This window comes from Homo sapiens, chromosome 5, assembly GCF_000001405.40.
Source record: "Homo sapiens chromosome 5, GRCh38.p14 Primary Assembly".
Classification (NCBI taxonomy): Eukaryota; Metazoa; Chordata; class Mammalia; order Primates; family Hominidae; genus Homo; species Homo sapiens.
The window spans coordinates 1,271,936-1,299,725 of NC_000005.10; the positions used below are offsets into that span (position 1 = coordinate 1,271,936).

A 27,790-nucleotide genomic window follows, 5' to 3' on the forward strand; every position below is an offset into this window, starting at 1 on the left:
GCACTGCGGAACTGGAGAGAGGCCGCGCAGTCAAACGTGAGCAGGTGCCTGAATGCAGCAGCTGTCGCAGCCTGGCATGGCCCAGCTCAGATTTCGCCAAGGCACACAGCTCATCATGCCCCCATCACAGCTCATTCCCCCCACTGCCCCCCAGGGCCAACAGTCTGTCCGGTCATGAGCCCAGTGATTGCCCAGGGGAGGACCCACTGCTGGGAGTCCGTGCCCAACCCTGCAGGGCAGTGCCCAGACCTGCTCGATGACGACGGCATCCCTCAGCGGGCTGGTCTCCTGCAGGTGAGCCACGAACTGTCGCATGTACGGCTGGAGGTCTGTCAAGGTAGAGACCTGCCGGCAGAGGAGAGGGCATGAGCCACAAATGTGGCCTGCCCCGGCCAGAGCTGGGCACTTGTTTCTTCCGATCAGGACGTGTGGACCTGCGGCCAAGCCCGATGGCGGGATGAAGCCCAGAGAGCGCCTGGGAAGCTTCTGTTTGGGAAACGGGGGCCGGGGGGCCGAGGACGCAAAGTAGCTACAGACACACCTGGGACTCCACCTGCAGCTACCACACATCAGACCCCTGTGACCGATCACCATCCACAGTCACCACATCAGACCCCACGACCGCCATCCACAGTCACCACATCAGACCCTACGACCGCCATCCACAGTCACCACATCAGACCCCACGACCGCCATCCACAGTCACCACACATCAGACCCCACGACCGCCATCCACAGTCACCACACATCAGACCCCACGACCGCCATCCACAGTCACCACACATCAGACCCCACGACCGCCATCCACAGTCACCACACATCAGACCCCACGACCGCCATCCACAGTCACCACATCAGACCCCACGACCGCCATCCACAGTCACCACACATCAGACCCCACGACCGCCATCCACAGTCACCACATCAGACCCCACGACCGCCATCCACAGTCACCACACATCAGACCCCACGACCGCCATCCACAGTCACCACACATCAGACCCCTGTGACCGATCGCCATCCAGTCACCACACATCAGACCCCCGGGACCAACCGCCATCCACAGTCACCACACATCAGACCCCACGACCGCCATCCACAGTCACCACACATCAGACCCCTGTGACCGATCACCATCCACAGTCACCACACATCAGACCCCACAACCGCCATCCACAGTCACCACACATCAGACCCCACGACCGCCATCCACAGTCACCACATCAGACCCCACGACCGCCATCCACAGTCACCACACATCAGACCCCACGACCGCCATCCACAGTCACCACACATCAGACCCCACGACCGCCATCCACAGTCACCACACATCAGACCCCACGACCGCCATCCACAGTCACCACATCAGACCCCACGACCGCCATCCACAGTCACCACACATCAGACCCCACGACCGCCATCCACAGTCACCACATCAGACCCCACGACCGCCATCCACAGTCACCACACATCAGACCCCACGACCGCCATCCACAGTCACCACACATCAGACCCCTGTGACCGATCGCCATCCACAGTCACCACACATCAGACCCCCGGGACCAACCGCCATCCACAGTCACCACACATCAGACCCCACGACCGCCATCCACAGTCACCACATCAGACCCCACGACCGCCATCCACAGTCACCACATCAGACCCCACGACCGCCATCCACAGTCACCACACATCAGACCCCCGGGACCAACCGCCATCCACAGTCACCACACATCAGACCCCACGACCGCCATCCACAGTCACCACATCAGACCCCACGACCGCCATCCACAGTCACCACATCAGACCCCACGACCGCCATCCACAGTCACCACACATCAGACCCCTGTGACCAACCGCCATCCACAGTCACCACACATCAGACCCCCGTGACCGACTGCCATCCACAGTCACGTGGCACAAGTGGCACTCGAGCTCCCGGGCCTCTCCAGCCCAGTGCTGGAGGGATTGCAGGGATGCAGGTGCAGCCACAGCACAGGCAGGAGAAGAGTCTGAAGACGCGGGAGAGAGACCGGCACCCCCACCTCCTATTCTGCAGACTCCCCCAGGACGCTTGTCATTTACTACGGGACCTGCTAAGCCCCTGCGTCCCCAAGACAGGATGTGAGCAGGCACGTGACACACACTAACACGGACACAGGAGGCCTCGAGCTTGTGAGGCATCAAAAGACGCGCACGGTGACTCTGTGCTTCAGCATGTTCCCCAGCCCCCAGGAGCTGGCGGCAGGGCCGTGGGCTAAAACCACATCGAGTACGATTCAACCCTGAGAACCAACCTGGAAGGCAGTAACAGGAAGGTACATGGGGCCTGCACCCTTCCCAACCCAGGAGCAGGCAACACGCCCACAAATAGCCCATGGGTCTGAGGTCGGCGGAAAGCATCACAGAAATCCGTAATTATTCTGGACTCAACACAGAAAAGCCAATATATCAACACTGACGAGAGGCTGCTGAAGCAGGTCTTTAGCACAGGGTCCCCAACCATTGTGGTACCAGGGACTGGTTTCGTGGAAGACGATTTTTCCACAGGACAGCAGTGGGGAAGGGGATGGTTTTGGGAGCAAACGGTTCCACCTCAGATCATCAGGCATTAGATTCCCATAAGGAGCACAGAATCTAGACCCCTCTCACGCACAGTTCTCAGTAGGGTGTGTGCGCCTCTGAGCACCGCATGCCACTGCTGATCTGAGAGGGGCGGGGCTCAGGCGGGAACGCTGGCTCCCCACACCCCACCTAGCCTCCCGCTGTGCGCCGGGTTCCTAACAGGCCCCAGACCGGTGCCACTCCACAGCCAGGGGCCTCGGGATCCCTGCTTTAGAGGGAAAACGGCAACTTCAGATGCTTGTTTAGAAAAGAAAGTTCAAACATCCATAATCGAAACTTTTCCTTCAAGGAGCCGGAAAAACAACAATAAACAAAGCCTAAAGGAAATGGAAGGAGGCCATCGATAAACAGCAGACACCAATTACGCAGGAAACAGCCGGGAAATCAGCACACGTGAAACTCTTCTGTGAAGAGAGTCATGAAATGGAAAGACCCCTAGCGAGACCTGGAGAAGGAAAACGGAGGTTGTCAGCACCAAGGCTGCAGGCAGCTATCGCTGCAGATCTCACGGAAGCTGCAGGAAGCGAGTCTCGGCCGGGCGCGGCGGTTCACACCTGTCATCCCAGCACTTTGGGAGGCCGAGGTGGGAGGATCACCTGAGGTCAGGAGTTCGAGACCAGCCTGGCCAACATGGAGAAACCTCGTCTCTACTAAAATTACAAAAATTAGTCAGCATGGTGGTGGGCGCCTATAATTCCAGCTACTTGGGAGGCTGAGGCAAGAGAATTGCTTGAACTCAGGAAGCACAGGTTGCAGTGAGCCAAGATCACGCCAAACCACTCCAGCCTGGGCAAAAAAGAGCGAGACTCTGTTATCAAAAAAAAAAAAAAAGAAAGAAAAAAAGAAAGAAAGCAAGCCTCCAACTCGCAGGGGAATTCCAAGGACGGAGCGTAGCCAGGGCCACATCCAGGCCAATGAACACAAGGAGGCCTGGAAGCCCTGCCCACCGGCCACACACCACAGCAGGCACCACACGACCCCAGAGTGGAAGAAACAGAACAGGGAGCCCAGGGGAGGCCTCCACACCCCTGACTTACTATAAACCCGACCATAGTTCAAAGGAAGATATGGTCTCCTCAATAAAGCTGTTGGAGCACCTGCAGACCCACTACAGGAAGAAAGCTCGCCTTGAACTCTGTGTTACCCCACTCATAAAAACCAATCCCACAGATCCCCACCTATCCCACACATGAAAACCAATCCCACAGATCTCCACCTACCCCACACATGAAAACCAACTCCACAGATCCCCACCTACCCCACACATGAAAACCAATCCCACAGATCCCCACCTACCCCACACATGAAAACCAATCCCACAGATCCCCACCTACCCCACACATGAAAACCAATCCCACAGATCTCCACCTACCCTACACATGAAAACCAACTCCACAGATCCCCACCTACCCCCACACATAAAAACCAACTCCACAGATCCCCACCTACCCCACACATGAAAACCAATCCCACAGATCCCCACCTACCCCACACATGAAAACCAATCCCACAGATCCCCACCTACCCCACACATGAAAACCAATCCCACAGATCCCCACCTACCCCACGGATGAAAACCAATTCACAGATCCCCACCTACCCCACACATAAAAACCAATCCCACAGGTCCCCACCTACCCCACACATAGAAACCAATCCCACAGATCCCCACCTACCCCACGGATGAAAACCAATTCACAGATCTCCACCTACACCACACATGAAAACCAACTCCACAGATCCCCACCTATCCCACACATGAAAACCAATCCCACAGATCCCCACCTACCCCACGGATGAAAACCAATTCACAGATCCCCACCTACCCCACGCATAAAAACCAATCCCACAGATCCCCACCTACCCCACGGATGAAAACCAATTCACATATCCCCACCTACCCCACACATAAAAACCAATCCCACAGATCCCCACCTACCCCACACAAGAAAACCAATCCCACAGATCCCCACCTACCCCGCACATGAAAACCAATCCCACCTACCCCACACATAAAAACCAATCCCACAGATCCCCACCTACCCCACGGATGAAAACCAATTCACAGATCTCCACCTACACCACACATGAAAACCAATCCCACAGATCCCCACCTACCCCACACATGAAAACCAATTCCACCAATCCCCACCCAGGTTTGCAAGCTGACACAGTAAAGACTGTTCTAAAAGGAGGCGCAGAAGCAACGTCACCACAACCTCAATACCTTGAGTTCCTGCAGAGAACACAAACAGCTTTAGCCACAAACAGCTGATAAAGTGGACTGCGTTACTGGACTGTGTTAGTGGACTGCGATAGAAGTACAATCTTCCAGTCCTCAAAAGGCTTGACTTGAGAGCACAAAAGCAAGACACACACGGCACAGAGATTCACAGTGCACGCATGTGATGCCACACTTGCAGCAGAACACACAAAGAGCTCCTGCAAGCCGATGATGGCAGGCAGGCGCCCCATACAGAGCGGGGCAGGACGGACAGCCACCTCCCGCAAGAGCCCCGGGGCGGCCAGCACGGGAACACTGTGGGCACGTGGGCATCAAGAGAGCCCCCTGCACAATCCCACGAGGCGGCTTCGACACCTTCAGGCCAGCGGCCACCGGAGGCATCGCCCTCACAAGCAGCCAGCCGGGGTGTCACTGTCACCCCCCTGGAAACTCCCACAACATCCCTAAAGCACGTCTGTGACCCAGCAACCCCACCCCTGGAATTCACCCAGAGGCGAGGGCCTCTGACCCCTGGGACACTCCCAGAACCCAGCAGGCTCACAGCAGGCGCAGCCGTGCAGTCCGCACCCAGGAGCCTCCACAGCAGCGGGAAGGATACATCCACGTGGCGAGTTCCACAACGGATGCCATTCATGGACAGAACGCACAGCTGAGGCGTTCAGCATAGCTGAGGCTCGAACCCCAAAACCCACCTCCTGCCTGATCTCACTCACATGGAGACCGGGAGAGGGAGACCATGGAGGTCGAGGTCGGAACGAGGGTCACGGTGGGGGCGGTAGCTTCCGCTGCAGCGGGGATGTGGGGGGGGGTCTCCTGGGCTCTGGTGACTTTCTACACCCGGGCACAGGTGGGCGGTGGGGACGGGGGGGTCTCCTGGGCTCTAGTGACTTTCTACACCTGGGCACAGGTGGTGGCCATCAGCTTTCCATGAGGGTAAAATTCTGCTGAGATTTGCAAGTAGCTGCGATAGCTCAAGAAGTCAGAGAAAGAGGTCCTTGTGGGTTTCCACATGTGCCTCTCCCCAGACCGAAGCTCCAGGGATACTTCTTCACCTCTGCACCCCGGCCTGGCACGACTTTGAGGGCTTACCCCTCCAGCGTGCTCATGACCACTGGGTGGGAACCCAAGCCCAGGGCCCCTTTCACCCCTGCCGAGCCCCAAGGCCCCCGGCCGCTCTGGGAGGAGTGTGTCCCGGGGAGCGAGGCCTGAATCAGCCTTCCTATATCTCATGGAGCCGGCATAGGCCAGACTGGGGTCCTGGGGGTGCCAGGGGTCCAGGAAGGTACCACCAGCATCCCTACTCTCCTCTCAAACCTGGCTTACAGTCTCCAAGGCCCAGCCCTGTGACAGGACAGGGGCACCCATGCTAGAAGTGAGGACCCTGAATGTGGAGCTCCCCAAACCAGCACCCGAGAGCGTGAGGACAATGGTGCGGACCATGCCTGGAGGAGGAAGGAGTAAGGCCAAGGGGCCACACACACCCATGCCATAGACACGCATATGTCACGGACACATGCACACACACACACCACAAATAGGCACATCACAGACATGCAGCACACAGCATGAACATGCACGTGTCACAGACACACACACATGCACACCACAGGCACACACACCATGGACACACACGTGCCACACACACACACACCACAAATATGCACGCCACAGATACATGCACCACGACACACACGTGCCACACACGCATATCACAGATGTGTAAATCATGGAAGTACCTCCACCACAGAAACGCATCACAGACACGACTGCATTCTAGACACATTCATATCCCAGAGACACACATCCTGGACACGACTATCACACGTGAACCTTACGTGGCTCTTGAAGGCCTTGCGGACGTGCCCATGGGCGGCCTTCTGGACCACGGCATACCGACGCACGCAGTACGTGTTCTGGGGTTTGATGATGCTGGCGATGACCTCCGTGAGCCTGTCCTGGGGGATGGTGTCGTACGCGCCCGTCACATCCACCTGTGTGAGTGGAGGCGAGGAGACTGACAGTGGCCACGCAGAAACTCAGACATCACCTCTGCCCTCAGGGCCTGGCCTGGCGGTGTCCCCCACTCTCTCTCTGACCCCCACCACTCCAGACCCCAAGGGCAGGGCGGGCTGTGTCCCCTCTCTGAGCCTCAGGACAGGAGACCCCTGGCTCAGGACTGGGGTGCAAGGCACCGGGGCCTGGTGGCTGAGCCGTTGCGGTTCCTTCTCTGACGGAAACTGGAATCCAGTGGGACCCTCCTTGGGAATAGGAGCCCGGGCAGTCAGGGTGCACAGTCGGCCCCATGTGCTGCAGGAAAGGCTGAAGGCCTCCACCCTAGGTGCCAGGTGTGTCCTCAACAGTGACAGGGTCACCTGCACTCCCTGCGGCCCACCCAGGAGTACCTCCTCCACCCAACATGAGGTGCCAATCAGGCAGCCACTCCCAAGGTCCAGCAGGGCTGCTCACGGGGGTCCCCGGCACCCACCTTGACAAAGTACAGCTCAGGCGGCGGGTCCTGGGCCCGCACACGCAGCACGAAGGTGCGCCAGGCCCTGTGGATATCGTCCAGGCCCAGCACAGAGGCGCCCAGGAGGCCGGGGCGCCGCGCCCGCTCGTAGTTGAGCACGCTGAACAGTGCCTTCACCCTCGAGGTGAGACGCTCGGCCTGGCGGGGACAGCATGGGAGACAGTCAGGAAAGTGGATCCGGCCAAGTGCCCACCCCACCATAGGGACCCAGGGGAGAAGCAGCCCCTCCCCAGTGTCCCCAGCCACCCAGACCCGGGACCTAGAACCCCTCCCAGCTTCCTCAGACCCTGTTTGAAACGGGTTCCTGGCCGCATGTGTGTTGCACACGGGATCCTCATGCCACACCTCTGTCCACCTCACCCCACACTCTCCTCAGATGACGGGGTCACCGCAGCCACCGCAGCCACAGGGGTGGGGTGCAGGAGCCGTGGGGCAAGGTCCAGGATCCTCAGAGCCCGGTGGGCTCCTGGCAGTCGTGGCCTGGTCCCCGGGCCCCGTAAGCGGAAGCGCACGGAGGCTGCGCACCACAGCAGGACACGGATCCAGGACCTCGGGCCGTGCTGCATCCAGGCCCTGGCCCGGCTGCTTCTTGTGGTCCTCAGAGCCTGTCCCTGCCCCAGGAGCTCCCCCTACACCCCCACGCTGCTTTTCTGGAGGCACCGGCACCTCGGCCACCTCACTGTGCGCACAAATGGGTTGGCGCCGTGCCATGGCCCTGGCTGTGTCCCGTGGCCCCTCCTCCGGGCCCTTCATCTAAGCTGATACCAAATGTGGGGCTCAAACGCACTTCTGTTTAAAAAGGAAGTTAAACCAAAGCACAGCCACCCTCTTTTCTCTGCGGAACGTTCTGGCTCCCACGACGTAGTCCATGTTCACAATCGGCCGCAGCCCGTCAGGCTTGGGGATGAAGCGGAGTCTGGACGTCAGCAGGGCGGGCCTGGCTTCCCGATGCTGCCTGACCTCTGCTTCCGACAGCTCCCGCAGCTGCACCCTCTTCAAGTGCTGTCTGCAATAGAGAGCCCCTCAGGAGGCTTGCTCAGCCAGACAACAGACTAGGGGGAAGCTCACGGGAAGCCACAAGCCCCCACCGACTCAGTGAGGGCTCAGGGCACCCACGGCAGCACACGCTGAAGGCCATGCCCGGGGCCACGTCCACCCATGCCAGCCAGACGCCTCTGAGAGCCCCTCTACTTGCAGGGCACCTGGACACCTGGTCCTATAGTCAACCCTGGGGACGCCCAGTCCGGCGGTCAACCCCCAGGGTGACTGTCCCACCATCAGCACCAGGGAGCCTGGTCCCAGGCTGCATCTGGGGCCACGTGAACCCATGCCCCTCCACACAGGATGCCTGTCCCTCTGGTACAGCCACTGGGGTAGCCCAAGGCTGGCCCCAGGCAGGACCCCCAGGTAGAAAGAGCCACATCCCTTCAGATGGAGAGGGCGGGAGAGGCTGCTCAGGGCAGCTCAGCCAAGGAGCAGAATCAGCTCTCATGAGCCCACCAGTCTCCTGACACCTCTGCCCTTTGGCCTTTTCCCCCAAAACCACCCATGGGGGCACGGGGGCTGGAGCGGCCACACCTGGACCTGGGCATCTGTGGCTGACAGCCTGGCACTCCGTGGACACTGGGGCCGCGGGTGCTCCGGAGCTGGTGCCCTGACCGCAGGCCGCAGGCCCAGCAGAGTAGAAAAGGCACGGTACCCTGTCCAGGGAGGAGGGGCCTCCAAGGCCCCCCAGGCAGAACAACAGTCCCAGTAGTGACAAGGAGCATCTTGGGGACCACCACGTCTGTCTGCTCCTTCCGGTCACCCCAATTAAATTCTTTCCAAAATACTGGTCAAATGACCATGTTGGGTCGCACACCATTAAATACGTGTAAAGTCTAAGTAAGGTGCATTGTGTATTAACTTGTTCCCACAGGGAAAGCCCTGACCCTCCCCCAGATGCAAGGAAATGGCCCCAGCACCACGTCGGGGTCCCCAGCCCAGAGGCTGTGTTACCTCTGACGAGGTCTGCTGCCAGCTCCCTCTGCAGACATCCTGATTTGGGGCATGGGGTGTCACAAGGCCCCCCAGGGACTCGAGTGTGCAGGGGAGCTGGGGAAGCCCTGATCTTCTGACTAAAGCCCTCCACAGTCAGCCTGGGCGGGACACGGAGAAGCTAATACCATGGCCTGGGCTCAGCCAGGCTGGCATCTCCCAGACCAGCGCTCCCGTCCCTCACTGATGCAAATCCAGCTTGAATCTGTCACAATCTCACACTCTCATCAGCCGAACATTGCAGACAAAATCTCACAGCCATTCAAATGCAGCCACCTAGAAGTTAGCTCATGGTGGAACTCTCCTATCCCCAGGTGCTCCCTGCACAGGTGCTCCCTGCAGTGAGTCGCCAAGTGGGTGGGATTTTATCCTCTCATGACCTAAATCCAATAGATTGAAGATTCATACAGAACAGCATGAATTAAAAGAGAATCGGGGGCTGGGCACGGTGGCTTAGCCTGTAAACCCAGCACTTTGGGAGGCCAAGGTGGGTGGATCACCTGAGGTCATGAGTTCGAGACCAGCCTGGCCAACATGGTGAAACCCCGTCTCTCCTAAAAGTACAAAAATTAGCCAGGCGTGGTGGCAGGTGCCTGTAATCCCAGCTACTTAGGAGGCTGAGGCTGGTGAATCGCTTAAACCCAGGAGGTGGAGGTTGCAGTGAGCCAAGATTATGCCACTGCACTCCAGCCTGGGCAACAGAGTGAGACTCCATCTCAAAAAAGAAAAAAAAAAGAGAGAGAGAATCAGACCCACATCCCAGGGAAAGGCAAGGAGGCTAGTGGTAGTGTTTCCATCTAATTTAAATCCCTTCTGCTTTACAAACCCTAGAGACCACTTGGCACAAACTCCTGATTTTACAAGTAAGAGAACGTGAGCTCCAGGCAGTCAGAGCCTTGCACAGAATCCACTTGGACCAGGCCTGTGACGGGGCCCCTGGCTCCCAGCCCAGAGCTGCACAGCCAGGGAAGCACAGGCAAGTGGAGACAGGCGCATGCTGAGGCCGGGCTGGTGTTCCAGGACTTCGAGAAGCAGAGGCCTGGCGTGGGGATACAGTACCTGATTCCAATGCTTTGCAACTTGCTCCAGACACTCTTCCGGTAGAAAAAGAGCCTGTTCTTTTGAAACGTGGTCTCCGTGACATAAAAGAAAGACCTGAGCAGCTCGACGACGTACACACTCATCAGCCAGTGCAGGAACTTGGCCAGGATCTCCTCACGCAGACGGTGCTCTGCGGCCGGAACACAGCCAACCCCTTAAACGAGAAGGACATGCCACATCCAGATCACCGAGGGCCTGGTGACCTCACCCCGGACCTGCACCATCCGGACACCGCACATCCAGCTCACCAAGGGCCTGGCGACCTCACCCCAGACCTGCACCATCCGGACACGGCACATCCAGCCCACCAAGGGCCTGGCGACCTCACCCTGGACCTGCACCATTCGGACACGGGGACACCGCATATCCAGCTCACCGAGGGCCTGGCGAACTCACCCCGGACCTGCAGCATCCAGACACCACACATCCAGCTCACCGCAGGGCCTGGCGAACTCACCCCGGACCTGCACCATCCAGACAACACACATACAGCCCACCGCAGGGCCTGGCGACCTCACTCCGGACCTGCACCATCCGTACACTGCACATCCAGCTCACCGCAGGGCCTGGCGACCTCACGCCAGACCTGCACCATCCGGATACAGCACATCCAGCTCACCGCAGGGCCTGGCGACCTCACCCCGGACCTGCACCATCCGGATACAGCACATCCAGCTCACAGCAGGGCCTGGCGACCTCACCCCAGACCTGCACCATCCGGACACCACACATCCAGCTAACCGCAGGGCCTGGTGACCTCACCCCGGACCTGCACCATCCGACACCGCATATCCAGCTAACCGCAGGGCCTGGCGACCTCACGCCAGACCTGCACCATCCGGATACAGCACATCCAGCTCACTGCAGGGCCTGGCGACCTCACCCCGGACCTGCACCATCTGGATACAGCACATCCAGCTCACAGCAGGGCCTGGCGACCTCACCCCGGACCTGCACCATCCAGACACCGCACATCCAGCTAACCGCAGGGCCTGGTGACCTCACCCCGGACCTGCACCATCCGGACACCGCATATCCAGCTAACCGCAGGGCCTGGCGACCTCACCCCGGACCTGCACCATCCGGACACCCCACATCCAGCTCACCGAAGGCCTTGGCTACCTCACCCCGGACCTGCACCATCCAGACACCGCACATCCAGCTCACAGCAGGGCCTGGCGACCTCACGCCGGACCTGCACCATCCGGACACCACACATCCAGCCCACCAAGGGCCTGGCGACCTCACCCCAGACATGCACCATGCAGACACCGCACATCCAGCTCACCAAAGGCCTGGCGACCTCACCCCAGACCTGCACCATCCGGACACGGCACATCCAGCCCACCAAGGGCCTAGCGACCTCACCCTGGACCTGCACCATCCGGACACGGGGACACCGCACATCCAGCTCACCGAGGGCCTGGCGAACTCACCCCGGACCTGCAGCAACCGGACACTGCACAACCAGCTCACCGCAGGGCCTGGTGACCTCACCCCAGACCTGCACCATCCGGATACAGCACATCCAGCTCACAGCAGGGCCTGGCGACCTCACCCCGGACCTGCACCATCCGGATACAGCACATCCAGCTCACAGCAGGGCCTGGCAACCTCACCCCGGACCTGCATCATCCGGACTCCATACCTCCAGCTCACCGAGGGCCTGGCGACCACACCCCAGACCTGCACCATCCAGACGCCGCACATCCAGCTCACAGCAGGGCCTGGCGACCTCACCCCGGACCTGCATCATCCGGACTCCATACCTCCAGCTCACCGAGGGCCTGGCGACCACACCCCAGACCTGCACCATCCAGACGCCGCACATCCAGCTCACAGCAGGGCCTGGCGACCTCACCCCGGACCTGCATCATCCGGACTCCATACCTCCAGCTCACCGAGGGCCTGGAGACCTCACCCCTGACCTGCACCATCCGGACACCGCATATCCAGCTCACAGCAGGGTCTGGCGACCTCACCCCGGACCGGCACCATCCGGACTCCATACATCCAGCTCACCGAGGGCCTGGCGACCTCACTCCAGACCTGCACCATCCAGACACCGCACATCCAGCTCACCGCAGGGTCTGGCGACCTCACCCCGGACCTGCACCATCTGGACACTGCACATCCAGCTCACCGAGGGCCTGGCGACCTCACTCCAGACCTGCACCATCCAGACACCACACATCCAGCTCACAGCAGGGCCTGGCGACCTCACCCCAGACCTGCACCATCCAGACACCACACATCCAGCTCACAGCAGGGCCTGGTGACCTCACACCGGACCTGCAGCATCCGGACACCCCACATCCAACTCACAGCAGGGCCTGGCAACCTCACCCCAGACCTGCACCATCCGGACACCGCATATCCAGCTCACCGCACGGTCTGGCACCGTCTGGCGACCTCACTCCAGACCTGCACCATCCAGACACCGCACACCCAGCTCACCGCAGGGCCTGGTGACCTCACCCCAGACCTGCACCATCCAGACACCACACATCCAGCTCACAGCAGGGCCTGGCGACCTCACCCCGGACCTGCATCATCCGGACTCCATACCTCCAGCTCACCGAGGGCCTGGAGACCTCACCCCTGACCTGCACCATCCAGACACCACACATCCAGCTCACAGCAGGGCCTGGCGACCTCACCCCGGACCTGCATCATCCGGACTCCATACCTCCAGCTCACCGAGGGCCTGGAGACCTCACCCCTGACCTGCACCATCCAGACACCACACATCCAGCTCACAGCAGGGCCTGGCGACCTCATCCCAGACGTGCACCATCCGGACACTGCACATCCAGCTCACTGAGGGCCTGGCGACCTCATCCCGGACCTGCACCATCTGGTACAACAGCCATGGCCATGGGAAGCCCAGCAGGTCCAGGCCGAGATGGCCACGCACGGGACCTACACACGGGATCCCGCAGACAAAGCTCAAAAAATGTCAAATGTCCTGTGAGTGATGCTCCCACCAATAACACCCTAAAATGATGAGGTGTGGACATGCTGGGCTTCAGTAAAATCTATTATTACATTAATTTCACCTTTTCTTTTTTACTTTTTTAATGTGGCTACTAGAATTTTTTTTTTTTTTTTTTTTTTTGAGACAGAGTCTCGCTGTGTTGCCAGGCTGGAGTGCAGTGGTGCAATGTCGGCTCACTGCAACTTCCAACTCCCAGGTTCAAGCAATTCTCCTGCCTCAGCCTCCCGAGTAGCTGGGATTACAGGCACCCGCCACCACGCCCAGCTAATTTTTGTGTTTTTAGTACAGATGGGGTTTCATCATGTTGGCCAGGATGGTCTCGACCTCCTGACCTCGTGATCCACCCGCCTTGGCCTCCCAAAGTGCTGGGATTACAGGCGTGAGCCACCGCGCCCAGCCTAGAAATTTTAAAATTATCCACATGGCTCACGTCATGCTCCTGTTGGGCGACAACGGCTCGGAGCCTCATCCTTTGTCCTGGTTCCCAAGCAGAAGGGAGGAAGCAGACACTCCCCCGCCAGGCAGCACCGTCAGAGCTGGCGCCACACCGCAGGTTTGCGCGATTTCAAACTCGACACCGCGGAGCCACCAGACCCCGACATGCCTGGGGTTTTCCAGGCTGAACCCAGGCCGAGCGGACGTTGCTGTCACTCACTGGCTAAGGAACGCTGGCCACGTGGTGCTCCAGACACTCACGGGCCAAGATGACCGCCCTCCTCGTGAGTCTCCACATCTTCATCTGTGCATCATAAGCAGAGGTCCCCGGACGTCGCTAGATGCCATGGAGGCCAGCACAGGTAAAGCTGGGGTTTACCAGCAATAACAAGACAGAAGAACCACGCAAAGGACAAGGAAGGGGACCCCAGACGGCGGGCCTGAGACAGAAGACAGACGGGGAACAAAGGAGGAAAAGCAGGGCGGGGGCAAAGCTACAGAAACACTCAACACGGAAAACAATATTAATAATGCTTAGCTTGTGGGGGTGTCAAGATGCCTGAGATAGAACTAAGTCAGCAGGGAAAACAGCACACAGGCTGGGGGGTGGCCAGAGCTAAAATACACTAAGGGTCTTATTGCTCAGGACAAGGGTAGCAATGTTTCAGACTTCATTTTAAAAGATCAAGGTATGCCGGGCACGGTGGCTTGCACCTGTAATCCCAGCACTGTGGGAGGCCAAGGCGGGCAGATCACTTGAGGTCAGGAGTTTGAGACCAGCCTGGCCAACATGGTGAAAGCCTATCTCTACTAAAAATACAAAAATTAGCCAGGCGTGGTGGTGGGCGCCTGTAATCCCAGCTACTCATGAGGTTGAGGAATGAGAACTGCTTGAACCGAGGAGGCAGAGGTTGCAGTGAGCCGAGATTGTGCCATTACACTCCAGCCTGGGTGACAGAGTGAGACTGTCTCAATAAACAAAAGCAAACAACGACAATAAAAAGATCAGGGGGTAACACTAAGCAAAGAGAAATAAAAGCAAATGCCCAGTGACCAGGAGGCAACGAGAGGATCAACACACACTCGGCAGGAAACGCACATGGCAACCCAAGAGGTGGTGAGAAACAAGGGAACGAGGACATGCAACAGGCAAGTGGAGAATCAGAGTGCACCAGGCGGGTCTCTAGTGACAAAAAAATGAAAATAAATCAGGTTATCCAGTTAAACAACGACTGTCAGACTGGATTGGAAATTCACCTACATGCTGTTAACAGGACATACCCACACTATAAGAATATAAAAGTGTTGAAAATTAGGCCAGACATGGTGGCTCATGCCTGTAATTCAGCACTTTGGGAAGCCGAGGTAGATGGATCCCTTGAGTCCAAGAGTTTGAGACCAGCCTGGGCAACACAGCAAGACCCTGTCTCCAGAAAAAATTTAAAAATTAGCCAGGTGTAGCGGTGCGTGTCTGCAGTTCCAGCTATTCAGGAGGCTGAGGTGAGAGGACGGCTCAGGCCAGAAGGTAAAAGTTACACTGACCTGTGATCACACCACTGCACTCACCCTGGGCGACAGACCAAGACTCTGTCTCAAAAAAAAAAAATATATATATATATATATAAATTAAAGGCAGAAAACAGACACAGCAGGAAAATACTAATCAAAAGAAGCCCAGTGTGGCAGTACTAAGAGCAATTTAAAAAAAGAATTACTAGATTACTAGAGACATAGAAGTCTCCAAAAGATTCACTCATCAGGAAGATAAAAATTCTACCACGTGCATGCACCTAACAATGCCTCACATAAATGCTACCAAACGAGAAGAAATGAACAGACCCATCCCCCAGGTGAGGGACTATGGCCTCCTTCTTGGAATTTCATGCATCTAGAAGGAGACAGAAGCTTTGCACTGGACCTTAATAAGCTGGATATAGTGAACATGCATGCCCACTATTGACAGGATGTCAAATTTACAATGGACAGTTCTGGAAACCATGCACACACTAGATCACAAAGCAAGGCTCCGCAAACTTCAAATAATTGGTATTATACAGACCACTACACAACTGAGTTAGAAATCAATAATAAAATGATAACTTAAAATACTCTACGTATCTTGATACTCTACATATCTTGAACATAAACAGTGTTCAAATAACTCACTGCTCAAAGAAATCACAGAATAAGCTAAAGAATACTTAAAAGTCACTGATATCAAAATGATTTCACGTCAAAACACAGCGTGCACAAAGAAAAAAATCACAGAATAAGAATACTTAAAAGAAGTATTAACACTTTGAAGTATTTTAAGAACACTTGAAAGTGGCTGATGTTGAGATTACTTCACATCAAAACACAGGGTGCAGGTAAGGCAGCACTTAGAGGGAAAGGCATGACTAAACTAAGAAGCTAGAAAAGGAATGAAAGAATAAACCAAGAAAAAGCATACAATGGAGAGATAGAAACGTCAGAGGTAAATCAGTGAAATTCAAAACTAAGACCCAAGAGGGAAGTCTGACGAAGGCTGGCGGAGACACCGGCCCTCCACGTGGGTCTCAGAGCAGGAGACAGACAGAGACACTCCAACCTGTGGCTGGACGTCAATCCATGTGAGGGGGCGACTGGAGGCAGAGCCCAGCCTAAGCAATGAGCGGCAGGTGCCCAGAATAAGGTGACAAGCGTTGCCACCCACCCAAGGGGGCCAAGCAGAGGGGCAGCTTGGGAGAAAACAGGACAAGTGAGGGGGCTGGGGTGACTTGCTTTCCTTCAGGGCACAGAGAACCCTTTCTGGGATGTCTCCAGCAACACGTGGCAGCAGACACAGGCAGCCCAGAGTCCAGCCTCGGCATGAGACAAGCTGGGAGAGGAGTATTGGCAGCATGCATGTGGCGGGCACGTGGTGAGCAAGCCAGGCCCAACAGAGGCAAGCGGACCTGAAGCTGTGGCTGCAGTGCCTGGCACGCGGGAGGCGAGAGCCTGCAGTCCCGTGTCCCCGTAGCAAAATGGAACGGAGAGGTGACCAAGAAGAGCCGAGCATCAGAAAAGATAGGCTTGGGGACCAGCACTGCGCCTGCACCATCTACCCAGGCAATGGGCAACCGGCGCAGCTGTGGCTATAGAAAGAGCAAACATTCAGGAGCAAGCTCAAGTGAGCAAACGCCAAGGACACCTGGGGACAGAGCCTCACTCACCCTACACGAGACAGGGACACCCAGGGACAGCGCCTCACTCACCCTGCACCTGAGAGGGACACCCGGGGGCCGCAACTCACTCACCCTACACGTGACAGGGACACCCGGGGACGGCGCCTCACTCACCCTACACGTGACAGGGACACCCGGGGATGGCGCCTCACTCACCCTACACCTGAGAGGGACACCCAGGGACGGCGCCTCACTCACCCTACACGTGACAGAGACACCCGGGGACAGTGCCTCACTCACCCTACACGTGACAGGGACACCCGGGGACGGGGCCTCACTCACCCTGCACGTGACAGGGACACCCGGGGACGGCGCCTCACTCACCCTACACGTGACAGGGACACCCGGGGACGGCGCCTCACTCACCCTACACGTGACAGGGACACCCGGGGACGGCGCCTCACTCACCCTACACGTGACAGGGACACCCGGGGACGGCGCCTCACTCACCCTACACGTGACAGGGACACCCGGGGACGGCGCCTCACTCACCCTGCACGTGACAGGGACACGCGGGGACGGCGCCTCACTCACCCTGCACGTGACAGGGACACCCGGGGGCCTCGCGTCAATCACCCTGCACGTGACAGGGACACCCGGGGACGGCGCCTCACTCACCCTGCACGTGACAGGGACACCCGGGGACAGTGCCTCATTCACCCTACACGTGACAGGGACACCCGGGGACCGCGCCTCACTCACCCTGAACGTGACAGGGACACCCGGGGACAGTGCCTCACTCACCCTGCAAGTGACAGGGACACCCGGGGGCCGCGCCTCACTCACCCTGCACGTGACAGGGACACCCGGGGGCCGTGCCTCACTCACCCTGCACGTGACAGGGACACCCGGGGGCCGCGCCTCACTCACCCTGCACGTGACAGGGACACCCGGGGGCCGCGCCTCACTCACCCTGCACGTGACAGGGACACCCGGGGGCCGCGCCTCACTCACCCTACACGTGACAGGGACACCCGGGGGCCGCGCCTCACTCACCCTGCACGTGACAGGGACACCCGGGGGCCGCGCCTCACTCACCCTACACGTGACAGGGACACCCGGGGACAGTGCCTCACTCACCCTACACGTGACAGTGACACCCGGGGACCGCGCCTCACTCACCCTACACGTGACAGGGACACCCGGGGGCCGTGCCTCACTCACCCTGAACGTGACAGGGACACCCGGGGACGGCGCCTCACTCACCCTACACGTGACAGGGACACCCGGGGACGGCACCTCACTCACCCTACACGTGACAGGGACACCCGGGGACGGCGCCTCACTCACCCTGCACGTGACAGGGACACGCGGGGACGGCGCCTCACTCACCCTGCACGTGACAGGGACACCCGGGGGCCTCGCGTCAATCACCCTGCACGTGACAGGGACACCCGGGGACAGCGCCTCACTCACCCTGCACGTGACAGGGACACCCGGGGACGGTGCCTCACTCACCCTACACGTGACAGGGACACCCGGGGACCGCGCCTCACTCACCCTGAACGTGACAGGGACACCCGGGGACAGTGCCTCACTCACCCTACACGGGACAGGGACACCCGGGGACCGTGCCTCACTCACCCTGCACGTGACAGGGACACCCGGGGACCGCGCCTCACTCACCCTGCACGTGACAGGGACACCCGGGGACCGCGCCTCACTCACCCTGCACGTGACAGGGACACCCGGGGACCGCGCCTCACTCACCCTGCACGTGACAGGGACACCCGGGGGCCGCGCCTCACTCACCCTGCACGTGACAGGGACACCCGGGGGCCGCGCCTCACTCACCCTGCACGTGACAGGGACACCCGGGGGCCGTGCCTCACTCACCCTGCACGTGACAGGGACACCCGGGGACGGCGCCTCACTCACCCTGCACGGGACAGGGACACCTGGGGACCGCGCCTCACTCACCCTGCACGGGACAGGGACACCCGGGGACAGTGCCTCACTCACCCTACACGTGACAGGGACACCTGGGGACCGCGCCTCACTCACCCTGCACGTGACAGGGACACCCGGGGACAGTGCCTCACTCACCCTATACCTGGGAGGGACACCCAGGGACGGTGCCTCACTCACCCTACACGTGACAGGGACACCTGGGGCCGCGCCTCACTCACCCTACACCTGAGAGGGACACCCGGGGACAGCGCCTCACTCACCCTACACCTGGGAGGGACACCCAGGGACGGTGCCTCACTCACCCTACACGTGACAGGGACACCCGGGGACCGCGCCTCACTCACCCTGCACGTGACAGGGACACCCGGGGACAGCGCCTCACTCACCCTGCACGGGACAGGGACACCCGGGGACCACGCCTCACTCACCCTACACGTGACAGGGACACCCGGGGACGGCGCCTCACTCACCCTACACCTGAGAGGGACACCCGGGGACAGTGCCTCACTCACCCTACACGTGACAGGGACACCCGGGGACCGCGCCTCACTCACCCTGCACGTGACAGGGACACCCGGGGACAGTGCCTCACTCACCCTGCACGGGACAGGGACACCCGGGGGCCACACCTCAATCACGCTGCACGGGACAGGGACACCCGGGGGCCGCGCCTCACTCACCCTACACGTGACAGGGACACCTGGGGGCAACGCCTCACTCACCCTGCACGTGACAGGGACACCCGGGGACCACGCCTCACTCCCTGCATAAGCCAGGGGCAGATTGTGACCTCATCTGAAGTCAGAGAACAGCAATGACAGGCAGAGTCCTGATCAGAGAACTCAAACTCTCCTCAACGAAGGAAGCTGGAGCACAAAAAGCAAAACTGGGTTGCATGACGCTTATCTGACTCGGCGTGGTCCACCTGAGCCGCAGCAGGTGTGAGGCAGCTGCCGTTCGATGGGTAGGGACTTCCAGTCACGCAAGACGCAGCATTTCAAGCAACCTGCTGTAAACACCGCCGAGTTAGCAATTCTGCACTGTACACAGAAAACGGTGTTAGGAGTGCCAATCTCATGTTATATGACTTTTGCCACCATAAAAAGAAAAAAAGAAAAAAAAGAGCCCCAAGAAGGTCACCCTCCTTGTCTGCATGGCCGGAAGTCTTACATGTCTTGGGAGTTTGTGGGGAGGGGGTGAAATCGGGACTTCTTCTAGCTGCCACGGTAGGGCCTGGGAGCACTGGGAGCCAAAAGGGGGCTGGAGCGGAGGTTCCTCAACATCAAATCCAGAAAAACAGGGTGGGGACACGGCAGGGCCCAGCAGCACCATCCCCTGAACACCCACAAACACTGTCCCTTCCTCAGCAGGTGGAGCCATCTGCTGTCCTCTGCTCCCATGTGGCCCTCTTCATACCTAAAGATGGGACCAGGATCTGTGCTGGAGAACAGTCTTATCTCCCTCCCTCTACCCTGTCCTGGCACAATCAACGAACACTTTTTTTTTTTAAAGACAGAGTTTCACTCTTGTCGCCCAGGCTGGAGTACAATGGCACAATCTCAGCTCACTGCAGCCTCCGCCTCCTGGGTTCAAGTGATTCTCCTGCCTCAGCCTCCCAAGTAGCTGGGATTACAGGCACACACCACCATGCCCAGCTAATTTTTGTATTTTTAGTACAGATAGGGTTTCACCATGTTGGTCAGGCTGGTCTCAAACTCCTGACCTCAGGTGATCCACCTGCCTCAGCTTCCCAAAGTGCTGGGATTACCGGCGTGAGCCACCGCACCTGGCCGTCAACACACAATTAAATCTTAAACACAAACCTGCATATTGGCTGACCACGTGCACCTGCAAAACCCTTACCTCCCACCCCCAGGAAGAGGGGGTTCTCGTCCCCACCTCTCATTCCCACCCTTGAAATTGCGAAGAGGATTATAGGTAACCTGCAGGCACCCTCGCCAGAGCGTCTGTGCTTCCAGACACTTCTCCCCATTGCCGGCAACCCGGCTCCACTGCCGCGCCCAGCCTCCTCTGTTCACTGCTCTGGCCTCGGCGCCTGGAAACCGCGTGTCCATCAAAACGTGAAGGTGAACCTCGTAAGTTTATGCAAACTGGACAGGAGGGAGAGCAGAGGCAGAGATCACCGTGTCCACTCGACGTCCTGAGCGAAAAGCCACGTGTGCCCACGTGACGATGGAGACAGGAGGACCAGGGCTCTGCCTGCCCCCTTTTCTGAGCCCCTACTGCATTCAGCTCTGGGGCCTGGGCCCTCGACGGCCACCACCTCCTCACCTGGGCTCCTGCGCAGCCAAGCGCAGTCCCGCACGCTCATCTTCCACGTCAGCTCCTGCAGCGAGAGCTTGGCATGCTTCCCCAGGGAGATGAACTTCTTGGTGTTCCTGAGGAAGCGGCGTTCGTTGTGCCTGGAGCCCCAGAGGCCTGGGGGCACCAGCCGGCGCAGGCAGGCCCGCACGAAGCCGTACACCTGCCAGGGGCTGCTGTGCTGGCGGAGCAGCTGCACCAGGCGACGGGGGTCTGTGTCCTCCTCCTCGGGGGCCGCCACAGAGCCCTGGGGCTTCTCCCGGGCACAGACACCGGCTGCTGGGGTGACCGCAGCTCGCAGCGGGCAGTGCGTCTTGAGGAGCACCCCGTAGGGGCACTGCGCGTGGTTCCCAAGCAGCTCCAGAAACAGGGGCCGCATTTGCCAGTAGCGCTGGGGCAGGCGGGGCAACCTGCGGGGAGTCCCTGGCATCCAGGGCCTGGAACCCAGAAAGATGGTCTCCACGAGCCTCCGAGCGCCAGTCAGGCTGGGCCTCAGAGAGCTGAGTAGGAAGGAGGGCCGCAGCTGCTCCTTGTCGCCTGAGGAGTAGAGGAAGTGCTTGGTCTCGGCGTACACCGGGGGACAAGGCGTGTCCCAGGGACGTGGTGGCCGCGATGTGGATGGGGGGCCCGCGTGGTGCTGGCGGCCCACGGATGGGTGGGAGTGGCGCGTGCCAGAGAGCGCACCCTCCAAAGAGGTGGCTTCTTCGGCGGGTCTGGCAGGTGACACCACACAGAAACCACGGTCACTCGGTCCACGCGTCCTGCCCGGGTGGGCCCAGGACCCCTGCCCAACGGGCGTCCGCTCCGGCTCAGGGGCAGCGCCACGCCTGGGCCTCTTGGGCAACGGCAGACTTCGGCTGGCACTGCCCCCGCGCCTCCTCGCACCCGGGGCTGGCAGGCCCAGGGGGACCCCGGCCTCCCTGACGCTATGGTTCCAGGCCCGTTCGCATCCCAGACGCCTTCGGGGTCCACTAGCGTGTGGCGGGGGCCGGGCCTGAGTGGCAGCGCCGAGCTGGTACAGCGGCGGCCCGCACACCTGGTAGGCGCAGCTGGGAGCCACCAGCACAAAGAGCGCGCAGCGTGCCAGCAGGTGAACCAGCACGTCGTCGCCCACGCGGCGCAGCAGCAGCCCCCACGCCCCGCTCCCCCGCAGTGCGTCGGTCACCGTGTTGGGCAGGTAGCTGCGCACGCTGGTGGTGAAGGCCTCGGGGGGGCCCCCGCGGGCCCCGTCCAGCAGCGCGAAGCCGAAGGCCAGCACGTTCTTCGCGCCGCGCTCGCACAGCCTCTGCAGCACTCGGGCCACCAGCTCCTTCAGGCAGGACACCTGCGGGGGAAGCGCCCTGAGTCGCCTGCGCTGCTCTCCGCATGTCGCTGGTTCCCCCCGGCCGCCCTCAACCCCAGCCGGACGCCGACCCCGGGGAGGCCCACCTGGCGGAAGGAGGGGGCGGCGGGGGGCGGCCGTGCGTCCCAGGGCACGCACACCAGGCACTGGGCCACCAGCGCGCGGAAAGCCGCCGGGTCCCCGCGCTGCACCAGCCGCCAGCCCTGGGGCCCCAGGCGCCGCACGAACGTGGCCAGCGGCAGCACCTCGCGGTAGTGGCTGCGCAGCAGGGAGCGCACGGCTCGGCAGCGGGGAGCGCGCGGCATCGCGGGGGTGGCCGGGGCCAGGGCTTCCCACGTGCGCAGCAGGACGCAGCGCTGCCTGAAACTCGCGCCGCGAGGAGAGGGCGGGGCCGCGGAAAGGAAGGGGAGGGGCTGGGAGGGCCCGGAGGGGGCTGGGCCGGGGACCCGGGAGGGGTCGGGACGGGGCGGGGTCCGCGCGGAGGAGGCGGAGCTGGAAGGTGAAGGGGCAGGACGGGTGCCCGGGTCCCCAGTCCCTCCGCCACGTGGGAAGCGCGGTCCTGGGCGTCTGTGCCCGCGAATCCACTGGGAGCCCGGCCTGGCCCCGACAGCGCAGCTGCTCCGGGCGGACCCGGGGGTCTGGGCCGCGCTTCCCCGCCCGCGCGCCGCTCGCGCTCCCAGGGTGCAGGGACGCCAGCGAGGGCCCCAGCGGAGAGAGGTCGAATCGGCCTAGGCTGTGGGGTAACCCGAGGGAGGGGCCATGATGTGGAGGCCCTGGGAACAGGTGCGTGCGGCGACCCTTTGGCCGCTGGCCTGATCCGGAGACCCAGGGCTGCCTCCAGGTCCGGACGCGGGGCGTCGGGCTCCGGGCACCACGAATGCCGGACGTGAAGGGGAGGACGGAGGCGCGTAGACGCGGCTGGGGACGAACCCGAGGACGCATTGCTCCCTGGACGGGCACGCGGGACCTCCCGGAGTGCCTCCCTGCAACACTTCCCCGCGACTTGGGCTCCTTGACACAGGCCCGTCATTTCTCTTTGCAGGTTCTCAGGCGGCGAGGGGTCCCCACCATGAGCAAACCACCCCAAATCTGTTAATCACCCACCGGGGCGGTCCCGTCGAGAAAGGGTGGGAAATGGAGCCAGGCGCTCCTGCTGGCCGCGCACCGGGCGCCTCACACCAGCCACAACGGCCTTGACCCTGGGCCCCGGCACTCTGTCTGGCAGATGAGGCCAACATCTGGTCACATCCCGCCCGCACAGGGTGGAGGGCAACCTCGGGGTCCAGGCACCTGGCTCCAAGCCTCGGACTGCAGAGCTAGGAGGCCCGACTTCCAGCCCAGCAGTAGAAGCCACACGGCCACTGGTCCCCTCCAGACCTGGGGCCCCGGCACAACCGCAGGACAGCTGAGGACTTCCCAGGAATCCAGACTCCGGGTTGCTCAAGTTTGGATCTAAGGGGCGAGAAACTTCTGGGTCTCCCGAGGCCTTGCAGGGATGCTGTAGCTGAGGTCGGCAAACACTGAAATGCTAACAAACGCAACCTTAAATGTAACCTTTCCTACTTTCAGAAACTGCCGGAGGAAATTGCTTTATTTATGGAGCTAGCATTTGAACAGGCCTCGCACCCTCCCTGGGCTGTCACGCTCGCTGGAGGTTAGCCTCGTCTTGTAAATACTTAGGATTACAGGTCGCTCTTCTAGAAATCCCCTTAGTGATCCCTAAGCCTTTTTAAAGGGCTGTGTTTGTGAATTGTCTCTGCCACTAGGGCAAAGGGGCGGTTTGGAAAATTTGTTCCAACAAAAGTTAAGTTGTAGCTTACACTGGTTCTCTGCAGAGAAGCCAACATAGAAAACACAATTTTAAAAGAGGGAAGAGAAGAAATGGAAGCAGAAGATTATGCTGGAGTAATTAACACCATGTGCATGGCGAGGAAACGCCTCCCGGCATTCAATGAAGATCGCTGATACCCAGAAGACACCCCAGTATTATGGGTGCAGTTAGTGTGTCTTTGAAAAGCTGATGATGTCTTAGTCATCACAGTGTAAAACATCAAGAGTGTTCTAACAACAATAAAAAAATTCTATCATTGGCTTAAAACACCACAACACTTGAGTGGGGTGAGCTTCCTACCTCAGACCCAGATGTTTCTAAACAGAGTAAATTCTGAGCTGGGCATGGTGGCTCACACCTGTAATCCCAGCACTTTAGGAGGCAGAGGCAGGTGGATCATCTGAGGTCAGAAGTTCGAGACCAGCCTGGCCAACATGGTGAACCCCACCCCCACCCCCGTCTCTACTAAAAATACAAAAAATTAGCTGGGCATGGTGGCGGGTGCCTGTAATCCCAGCCAAATGGGAGGCGGAAGCAGGAGAATCACTTGAACCTGGGAGGCAGAGGCTGCAGTAAGCCAAGATCGCGCCATTGCACTCCCTCCAGCCTGAGCAACAAGAGTGAAACTGCCTCTCAAAACAAAACAAACAAACCAACAAATGAAACAGTGGATTCAGTACCAGCAGTGAAAAATAACAAAGTATCATTCCTTCCTCCACAGGAGTGAGAGGAACTCCTCTGCCCCTGGGGGGGGATAGGGAAGGGGCTCAATCCCAGTAGAGTAGGAGGGATGGACTTTAATTTCTACATGTTTCAGCACACACTGAGACATTGAGATTCAGGACAGTGTCCACACTCGCGCCCTGATTCTACATCAGGTTTCTACTGGCAGATGGCAACCCCACTGGGACCTGAAGCCTGCAGCCTCCCAGCTGCCCCTGCAGTGGGTCCCATGGGATAACAGGTGGTCACAGAAACTGTGAATATGTCAAGAGACGGTGTATCCCCAGTCTACGAAGAATTACAGAAAATATCAAAGGAGGGTAACTCCTGAGTAAAGGGGAAATTGAACTCCATGAACTCCTTACCAGTGGGTGTGACTTGAGCCCAGGGAAGTTTTAAAATGGTTAAATAGGCCAGGTGCAGTGGCTCATGCCTGTAATCCCAGCACTTTGGGAGGCTGAGGTGGGCGGATCACCTGAGGTCAGGATTTTGAGATCAGCCTGACCAACATGGTGAAAGCCCATCTCTACTAAAAATACAAAATTAGCCGGGTGTGGTGGTGCATGCCTGAAATCCCAGCTACTTGGGAGGCTGAGGCACGAGAATTGCTTGAACCCAGGAGACGGAGGTTGCAGTGAGCCAAGATCATGCCGCTGCACTCCAGCCTGGGCAACAAGAGCATAACTCTGTCTCAGAAAGTAAGTAAATAAAATAAAATAGCTAAATAAAATCACTCGTGCCTGCCCTGCCCTTGCCCGGAGGCACTTCAGCCCTGTCCTTGGATGTTTCTGTAAACCTTTGTTTTGAAATAATCCTAGATTCACAGTGCATGGGTTTCCTGTTGCTTCTGCAAATCCCCACACACTTCATGCTAGAAGGGCAGCGCGAGTGCCCTCCTATGGCACGGAGGCCGGAGGTCCACGATGGGCCCTGGTGGGCTAAGGGCCAGCCGTGCCTTCCTGCTGCAGGCTCCGTGGAGGGTCCCTTCCCCGCTTTTTCCAGCTTCTGGAGGCGCTTGCAGGCCTGGGCTCGAGGCCCTCCCTCCCTTTTCAGCCTCAGACTGACTGCCTCCATCGTCCTGAGGCTGCCCCCCTCTGACCCTCCTGCCCGCCTCTTCCCAGAACCCCTGGATTACTTTTCGGGCCTGCAGGTAGTCCCGAAGGATCCCAGACCTCAGGGTCCTCACGGAGATCACACCTGCAAAGGCCCTGGGGCCGGGCGGGTTCTGTCCACAGGTTTGGGGGAATCAGGACGTGGGCATCTCTAGAGCATTATCCTGCCCAGGACACTCGGGCATGGCAAAGATGGCACAGCCTCCGGGTTCCCCCATCCCCACTCCCCTATGGTTAGTCTCCCATAACTGAGCCAATACCATCAGAACCAGGAAACTGGCTTTAGTAAAAGGTGCGTGCAGTAGCCCCCAGCTGCCGCCCCCACCGTCCTTAACCCCCCTAACCACTCCCCTGCCATGGGGTGAAATTCTTTCTTTTTGAGCATGTTGCGTACGTATCCCATGGAGGTGGCAGTTTTGACTCAGCGTAATTCCCTTGAGATGCCTGCAGGCTTTATAAACGGCATGTTCCTCTTCACTGTGAGGAACTGTCCACCGTGCGGATGGACCCGTTTGTTTAACCAGTTTGTTAAAGGACATTTTAGCAGGGATTTCCCTGCTTTGTAGCTATTAAAATAAAACAGCGGGGGTCGGTCGTGGACGGGAGTGTGTACATGATGTGCGTAGTCACGTGAATTCCCAGGGCTGTGGGGCAAATGTCCAGGGGTGCCAATGCTGGGTCTTTTGGGAAGAGGATGCTTAGTGCTTGTGGAAACTGCCACTCTGTGTTCCAGAGGGAGGGGGGCAGAAAAGTGCTGGGCAGAGAAGGGCGGGTCCCTGGCGGGGGCTCCATCCCCAGGCCTGTGCCCGTGGACCTAGGTGAGGACAGGCACTCCTACTTTCACACCCAAATGTTGCATTTCCCAAGAGCGCCCTGGCCCACCACGCCCCCGTCCTATGCCTATAAAAACCCCCAGACCCTAGCGGGCAGAGACACACGCAGCTGGACGTGGAAAGGAGCACAGAAACAGAAGAACACACCGGCAGGCCCCGGCAGATGACAGGAGACGGGGAGCGCCTGGAAATGGAGGTCAGCGTGCAGCCGGACGCCAGGAACCTGCATCGGGGGCCACGAGCCAGGTTCAGGCTCAGAGGAGCCAGTCTGGGAGGCGCAGAATCTCCTCCCTTCAACGCATGTGAGTGTTGGGGAAGGAGACAGACACCCCATGTGAGGAGGAACCGTGCGAGCTACGTCGCTGAGACAAGACACAGTGGGACAGGTGAGACAGTAGCGCTGGAACACGGCCCACCCAGGGTTTAGGAAGCTGCTGGAGAAGCTGAGGCCTGGAGGTGGAGGGTGTGGAGACAGGGCTGGCCTCAGTGTGGCACCCCAGGCTGAGTCTCCAGGGCAGATGGCGCCCTCGGGAAGCAGCAAC

General features: G+C 59.3%; 1 protein-coding gene across 4 annotated transcripts in view, besides 58 other annotated features; it reads right to left on the bottom strand.

Annotated features, from left to right (window-relative positions):
• The window catches only part of TERT (telomerase reverse transcriptase), a 41,902-nt gene extending 18,769 nt beyond the window's left edge, over positions 1 to 23,133 (bottom strand). For 2 of the 4 annotated variants that reach the window (NM_001193376.3, NM_198253.3), the window contains exons 1-7: positions 22,836 to 23,133; positions 21,378 to 22,731; positions 10,494 to 10,689; positions 8,223 to 8,403; positions 7,356 to 7,535; positions 6,706 to 6,861; positions 250 to 345 (exon numbers count right to left, since the gene is read on the bottom strand). In NM_001193376.3, coding sequence (NP_001180305.1) covers positions 250 to 345; positions 6,706 to 6,861; positions 7,356 to 7,535; positions 8,223 to 8,403; positions 10,494 to 10,689; positions 21,378 to 22,731; positions 22,836 to 23,054 — 2,382 coding nt within the window. In that variant the 5' untranslated portion in view covers positions 23,055 to 23,133. The remainder of the gene's footprint in view (positions 1 to 249; positions 346 to 6,705; positions 6,862 to 7,355; positions 7,536 to 8,222; positions 8,404 to 10,493; positions 10,690 to 21,377; positions 22,732 to 22,835) is intronic. The other 2 variants (NR_149163.3, NR_149162.3) reach the window with 2 other exon arrangements.
• Positions 4,759 to 5,053: a silencer, noted in NCBI's record as "tiled region #13256; HepG2 Repressive non-DNase unmatched - State 21:Repr". NCBI's record gives its function as "represses a minimal TATA promoter and a strong SV40 promoter by Sharpr-MPRA in HepG2 cells {active_cell/tissue: HepG2}" and the evidence as "EXISTENCE:reporter gene assay evidence [ECO:0000049][PMID:27701403]".
• Positions 14,539 to 15,785: an enhancer, noted in NCBI's record as "+7969 enhancer". NCBI's record gives the evidence for it as "EXISTENCE:reporter gene assay evidence [ECO:0000049][PMID:27191258]".
• Positions 15,131 to 15,156: a protein binding site, noted in NCBI's record as "Snail1 site; binds with T allele at rs2853677". NCBI's record gives its function as "disrupts promoter-enhancer interaction" and the evidence as "EXISTENCE:protein binding evidence [ECO:0000024][PMID:27191258]".
• Positions 18,559 to 19,310: an enhancer, noted in NCBI's record as "H3K27ac-H3K4me1 hESC enhancer chr5:1290609-1291360 (GRCh37/hg19 assembly coordinates)". NCBI's record gives its function as "activates a minimal SCP1, AML or CMV promoter by ChIP-STARR-seq in naive H9 embryonic stem cells {active_cell/tissue: H9 hESC(naive)}" and the evidence as "EXISTENCE:reporter gene assay evidence [ECO:0000049][PMID:30033119]".
• Positions 19,311 to 20,061: an enhancer, noted in NCBI's record as "H3K27ac-H3K4me1 hESC enhancer chr5:1291361-1292111 (GRCh37/hg19 assembly coordinates)". NCBI's record gives its function as "activates a minimal SCP1, AML or CMV promoter by ChIP-STARR-seq in primed H9 embryonic stem cells {active_cell/tissue: H9 hESC(primed)}" and the evidence as "EXISTENCE:reporter gene assay evidence [ECO:0000049][PMID:30033119]".
• Positions 22,693 to 23,384: a promoter, noted in NCBI's record as "P-330; PstI/XmaI fragment". NCBI's record gives the evidence for it as "EXISTENCE:reporter gene assay evidence [ECO:0000049][PMID:9887342]".
• Positions 22,693 to 27,053: a promoter, noted in NCBI's record as "P-3996; PstI/EcoRI fragment". NCBI's record gives the evidence for it as "EXISTENCE:reporter gene assay evidence [ECO:0000049][PMID:9887342]".
• Positions 22,698 to 23,054: a transcriptional cis regulatory region, noted in NCBI's record as "+1/+397 region". NCBI's record gives its function as "suppresses promoter activity" and the evidence as "EXISTENCE:reporter gene assay evidence [ECO:0000049][PMID:12480519]".
• Positions 22,751 to 23,551: a DNaseI hypersensitive site, noted in NCBI's record as "HS1; the nucleotide coordinates are approximate for this feature". NCBI's record gives the evidence for it as "EXISTENCE:in vivo cleavage assay evidence [ECO:0001075][PMID:12611896, PMID:15516693]".
• Positions 22,915 to 22,944: a protein binding site, noted in NCBI's record as "PAX site". NCBI's record gives its function as "positive regulation of promoter activity" and the evidence as "EXISTENCE:protein binding evidence [ECO:0000024][PMID:19806612]".
• Positions 23,052 to 23,071: a protein binding site, noted in NCBI's record as "KLF4 site". NCBI's record gives its function as "positive regulation of promoter activity" and the evidence as "EXISTENCE:protein binding evidence [ECO:0000024][PMID:20629177]".
• Positions 23,057 to 23,089: a transcriptional cis regulatory region, noted in NCBI's record as "E1 box". NCBI's record gives its function as "mediates activation by MYC" and the evidence as "EXISTENCE:deletion mutation evidence [ECO:0005510][PMID:10022128]".
• Positions 23,070 to 23,104: a protein binding site, noted in NCBI's record as "downstream E-box". NCBI's record gives the evidence for it as "EXISTENCE:protein binding evidence [ECO:0000024][PMID:12181331]".
• Positions 23,073 to 23,082: a protein binding site, noted in NCBI's record as "E-Box". NCBI's record gives its function as "negative regulation of promoter activity" and the evidence as "EXISTENCE:protein binding evidence [ECO:0000024][PMID:15371341]".
• Positions 23,074 to 23,098: a protein binding site, noted in NCBI's record as "downstream E-box". NCBI's record gives the evidence for it as "EXISTENCE:protein binding evidence [ECO:0000024][PMID:12044867, PMID:12181331]".
• Positions 23,074 to 23,126: a protein binding site, noted in NCBI's record as "+4 (53 bp) fragment". NCBI's record gives its function as "negative regulation of promoter activity" and the evidence as "EXISTENCE:protein binding evidence [ECO:0000024][PMID:22240313]".
• Positions 23,075 to 23,096: a protein binding site, noted in NCBI's record as "HRE2". NCBI's record gives its function as "positive regulation of promoter activity" and the evidence as "EXISTENCE:protein binding evidence [ECO:0000024][PMID:15199161]".
• Positions 23,076 to 23,100: a protein binding site, noted in NCBI's record as "-46/-22 probe". NCBI's record gives its function as "negative regulation of promoter activity" and the evidence as "EXISTENCE:protein binding evidence [ECO:0000024][PMID:15331176]".
• Positions 23,081 to 23,123: an enhancer, noted in NCBI's record as "IL2 responsive enhancer +9/+51". NCBI's record gives its function as "mediates induction by interleukin 2" and the evidence as "EXISTENCE:reporter gene assay evidence [ECO:0000049][PMID:15629899]".
• Positions 23,094 to 23,810: an enhancer, noted in NCBI's record as "H3K27ac-H3K4me1 hESC enhancer chr5:1295144-1295860 (GRCh37/hg19 assembly coordinates)". NCBI's record gives its function as "activates a minimal SCP1, AML or CMV promoter by ChIP-STARR-seq in naive H9 embryonic stem cells {active_cell/tissue: H9 hESC(naive)}" and the evidence as "EXISTENCE:reporter gene assay evidence [ECO:0000049][PMID:30033119]".
• Positions 23,102 to 23,131: a protein binding site, noted in NCBI's record as "KLF2 site". NCBI's record gives its function as "negative regulation of promoter activity" and the evidence as "EXISTENCE:protein binding evidence [ECO:0000024][PMID:25694435]".
• Positions 23,127 to 23,151: a protein binding site, noted in NCBI's record as "Sp1 site 5; corresponds to Sp1/Ap2 site (PMID:11454703) and probe 7 (PMID:9973199)". NCBI's record gives its function as "important for promoter activity" and the evidence as "EXISTENCE:protein binding evidence [ECO:0000024][PMID:9973199, PMID:11064449, PMID:11454703, PMID:16344462]".
• Positions 23,142 to 23,161: a protein binding site, noted in NCBI's record as "EtsB". NCBI's record gives the evidence for it as "EXISTENCE:protein binding evidence [ECO:0000024][PMID:18586674]".
• Positions 23,145 to 23,162: a nucleotide motif, noted in NCBI's record as "nucleotide_motif; homopurine-homopyrimidine tract". NCBI's record gives the evidence for it as "COORDINATES:motif similarity evidence [ECO:0000028][PMID:17560709]".
• Positions 23,154 to 23,221: a sequence secondary structure, noted in NCBI's record as "G-quadruplex region; thought to form multiple G-quadruplex structures,; indicated by circular dichromism, Taq polymersase stop assay, and DMS footprinting". NCBI's record gives the evidence for it as "EXISTENCE:nuclear magnetic resonance spectroscopy evidence [ECO:0001105][PMID:20704263]" and "EXISTENCE:spectrophotometry evidence [ECO:0001126][PMID:19601575]".
• Positions 23,159 to 23,167: a transcriptional cis regulatory region, noted in NCBI's record as "Sp1 site 4". NCBI's record gives its function as "contributes to promoter activity" and the evidence as "EXISTENCE:site-directed mutagenesis evidence [ECO:0005528][PMID:12019268]".
• Positions 23,163 to 23,215: a protein binding site, noted in NCBI's record as "bait oligo; binding increased with C228T and C250T mutations". NCBI's record gives the evidence for it as "EXISTENCE:protein binding evidence [ECO:0000024][PMID:26553150]".
• Positions 23,179 to 23,187: a transcriptional cis regulatory region, noted in NCBI's record as "Sp1 site 3". NCBI's record gives its function as "contributes to promoter activity" and the evidence as "EXISTENCE:site-directed mutagenesis evidence [ECO:0005528][PMID:12019268]".
• Positions 23,187 to 23,212: a protein binding site, noted in NCBI's record as "C250T mutation site; binding is strongest in T mutation". NCBI's record gives its function as "bind cooperatively to activate promoter" and the evidence as "EXISTENCE:protein binding evidence [ECO:0000024][PMID:26389665]".
• Positions 23,207 to 23,228: a protein binding site, noted in NCBI's record as "Sp1 site 2; -119/-98". NCBI's record gives its function as "important for promoter activity" and the evidence as "EXISTENCE:protein binding evidence [ECO:0000024][PMID:15367601]".
• Positions 23,220 to 23,289: a silencer, noted in NCBI's record as "silent region_15880". NCBI's record gives its function as "represses an Ori minimal core promoter by ATAC-STARR-seq in GM12878 lymphoblastoid cells {active_cell/tissue: GM12878}" and the evidence as "EXISTENCE:reporter gene assay evidence [ECO:0000049][PMID:35858748]".
• Positions 23,222 to 23,249: a protein binding site, noted in NCBI's record as "Sp1 site 1; -195/-168". NCBI's record gives its function as "mediates downregulation of promoter activity" and the evidence as "EXISTENCE:protein binding evidence [ECO:0000024][PMID:9973199, PMID:11855854, PMID:12151407]".
• Positions 23,283 to 23,304: a protein binding site, noted in NCBI's record as "HRE1". NCBI's record gives its function as "positive regulation of promoter activity" and the evidence as "EXISTENCE:protein binding evidence [ECO:0000024][PMID:15199161]".
• Positions 23,283 to 23,304: a protein binding site, noted in NCBI's record as "distal E-box I". NCBI's record gives its function as "negative regulation of promoter activity" and the evidence as "EXISTENCE:protein binding evidence [ECO:0000024][PMID:10723141]".
• Positions 23,283 to 23,304: a protein binding site, noted in NCBI's record as "MYC site 1". NCBI's record gives its function as "induces promoter activity" and the evidence as "EXISTENCE:protein binding evidence [ECO:0000024][PMID:9973199, PMID:11102531]".
• Positions 23,283 to 23,304: a protein binding site, noted in NCBI's record as "upstream site". NCBI's record gives the evidence for it as "EXISTENCE:protein binding evidence [ECO:0000024][PMID:12044867]".
• Positions 23,289 to 23,308: a protein binding site, noted in NCBI's record as "EtsA; core binding site altered by polymorphism at rs2853669". NCBI's record gives the evidence for it as "EXISTENCE:protein binding evidence [ECO:0000024][PMID:18586674]".
• Positions 23,292 to 23,315: a protein binding site, noted in NCBI's record as "E2F site". NCBI's record gives the evidence for it as "EXISTENCE:protein binding evidence [ECO:0000024][PMID:11433024]".
• Positions 23,306 to 23,327: a protein binding site, noted in NCBI's record as "SMAD site 1". NCBI's record gives its function as "mediates repression by transforming growth factor beta" and the evidence as "EXISTENCE:protein binding evidence [ECO:0000024][PMID:16785237]".
• Positions 23,390 to 23,479: a silencer, noted in NCBI's record as "silent region_15881". NCBI's record gives its function as "represses an Ori minimal core promoter by ATAC-STARR-seq in GM12878 lymphoblastoid cells {active_cell/tissue: GM12878}" and the evidence as "EXISTENCE:reporter gene assay evidence [ECO:0000049][PMID:35858748]".
• Positions 23,402 to 23,418: a protein binding site, noted in NCBI's record as "WT1 site". NCBI's record gives its function as "negative regulation of promoter activity" and the evidence as "EXISTENCE:protein binding evidence [ECO:0000024][PMID:10601322]".
• Positions 23,402 to 23,418: a protein binding site, noted in NCBI's record as "WT1 site". NCBI's record gives its function as "positive regulation of promoter activity" and the evidence as "EXISTENCE:protein binding evidence [ECO:0000024][PMID:17485108]".
• Positions 23,687 to 23,696: a protein binding site, noted in NCBI's record as "CEBP-BS-2". NCBI's record gives the evidence for it as "EXISTENCE:protein binding evidence [ECO:0000024][PMID:23023397]".
• Positions 23,775 to 23,799: a protein binding site, noted in NCBI's record as "TBE". NCBI's record gives its function as "mediates activation of promoter by Wnt signalling" and the evidence as "EXISTENCE:protein binding evidence [ECO:0000024][PMID:22854964]".
• Positions 23,801 to 23,828: a protein binding site, noted in NCBI's record as "-687 MZF2 site". NCBI's record gives its function as "negative regulation of promoter activity" and the evidence as "EXISTENCE:protein binding evidence [ECO:0000024][PMID:10871406]".
• Positions 23,869 to 23,889: a nucleotide motif, noted in NCBI's record as "nucleotide_motif; homopurine-homopyrimidine tract". NCBI's record gives the evidence for it as "COORDINATES:motif similarity evidence [ECO:0000028][PMID:17560709]".
• Positions 23,921 to 23,943: a protein binding site, noted in NCBI's record as "-450/-473 Cbfa1 site 1". NCBI's record gives the evidence for it as "EXISTENCE:protein binding evidence [ECO:0000024][PMID:17352650]".
• Positions 23,984 to 24,009: a protein binding site, noted in NCBI's record as "-949/-935 ERE". NCBI's record gives its function as "positive regulation of promoter activity" and the evidence as "EXISTENCE:protein binding evidence [ECO:0000024][PMID:10805720]".
• Positions 24,328 to 24,340: a protein binding site, noted in NCBI's record as "CEBP-BS-1". NCBI's record gives the evidence for it as "EXISTENCE:protein binding evidence [ECO:0000024][PMID:23023397]".
• Positions 24,441 to 24,466: a protein binding site, noted in NCBI's record as "PRE2". NCBI's record gives its function as "negative regulation of promoter activity" and the evidence as "EXISTENCE:protein binding evidence [ECO:0000024][PMID:21300782]".
• Positions 24,460 to 24,485: a protein binding site, noted in NCBI's record as "PRE1". NCBI's record gives its function as "negative regulation of promoter activity" and the evidence as "EXISTENCE:protein binding evidence [ECO:0000024][PMID:21300782]".
• Positions 24,475 to 24,875: a DNaseI hypersensitive site, noted in NCBI's record as "hHS3; 1.5 kb DH site; the nucleotide coordinates are approximate for this feature". NCBI's record gives the evidence for it as "EXISTENCE:in vivo cleavage assay evidence [ECO:0001075][PMID:15516693, PMID:19270068]".
• Positions 25,256 to 25,656: a DNaseI hypersensitive site, noted in NCBI's record as "2.3 kb DH site; the nucleotide coordinates are approximate for this feature". NCBI's record gives the evidence for it as "EXISTENCE:in vivo cleavage assay evidence [ECO:0001075][PMID:15516693]".
• Positions 25,638 to 25,672: a protein binding site, noted in NCBI's record as "DR3' element". NCBI's record gives its function as "negative regulation of promoter activity" and the evidence as "EXISTENCE:protein binding evidence [ECO:0000024][PMID:12939463]".
• Positions 25,792 to 25,813: an enhancer, noted in NCBI's record as "-2678 ERE". NCBI's record gives its function as "estrogen-responsive enhancer" and the evidence as "EXISTENCE:reporter gene assay evidence [ECO:0000049][PMID:10606235]".
• Positions 25,792 to 25,813: a protein binding site, noted in NCBI's record as "-2678 ERE". NCBI's record gives its function as "positive regulation of enhancer activity" and the evidence as "EXISTENCE:protein binding evidence [ECO:0000024][PMID:10606235]".
• Positions 25,798 to 26,198: a DNaseI hypersensitive site, noted in NCBI's record as "2.9 kb DH site; the nucleotide coordinates are approximate for this feature". NCBI's record gives the evidence for it as "EXISTENCE:in vivo cleavage assay evidence [ECO:0001075][PMID:15516693]".
• Positions 25,849 to 25,871: a protein binding site, noted in NCBI's record as "-2792/-2815 Cbfa1 site 4". NCBI's record gives the evidence for it as "EXISTENCE:protein binding evidence [ECO:0000024][PMID:17352650]".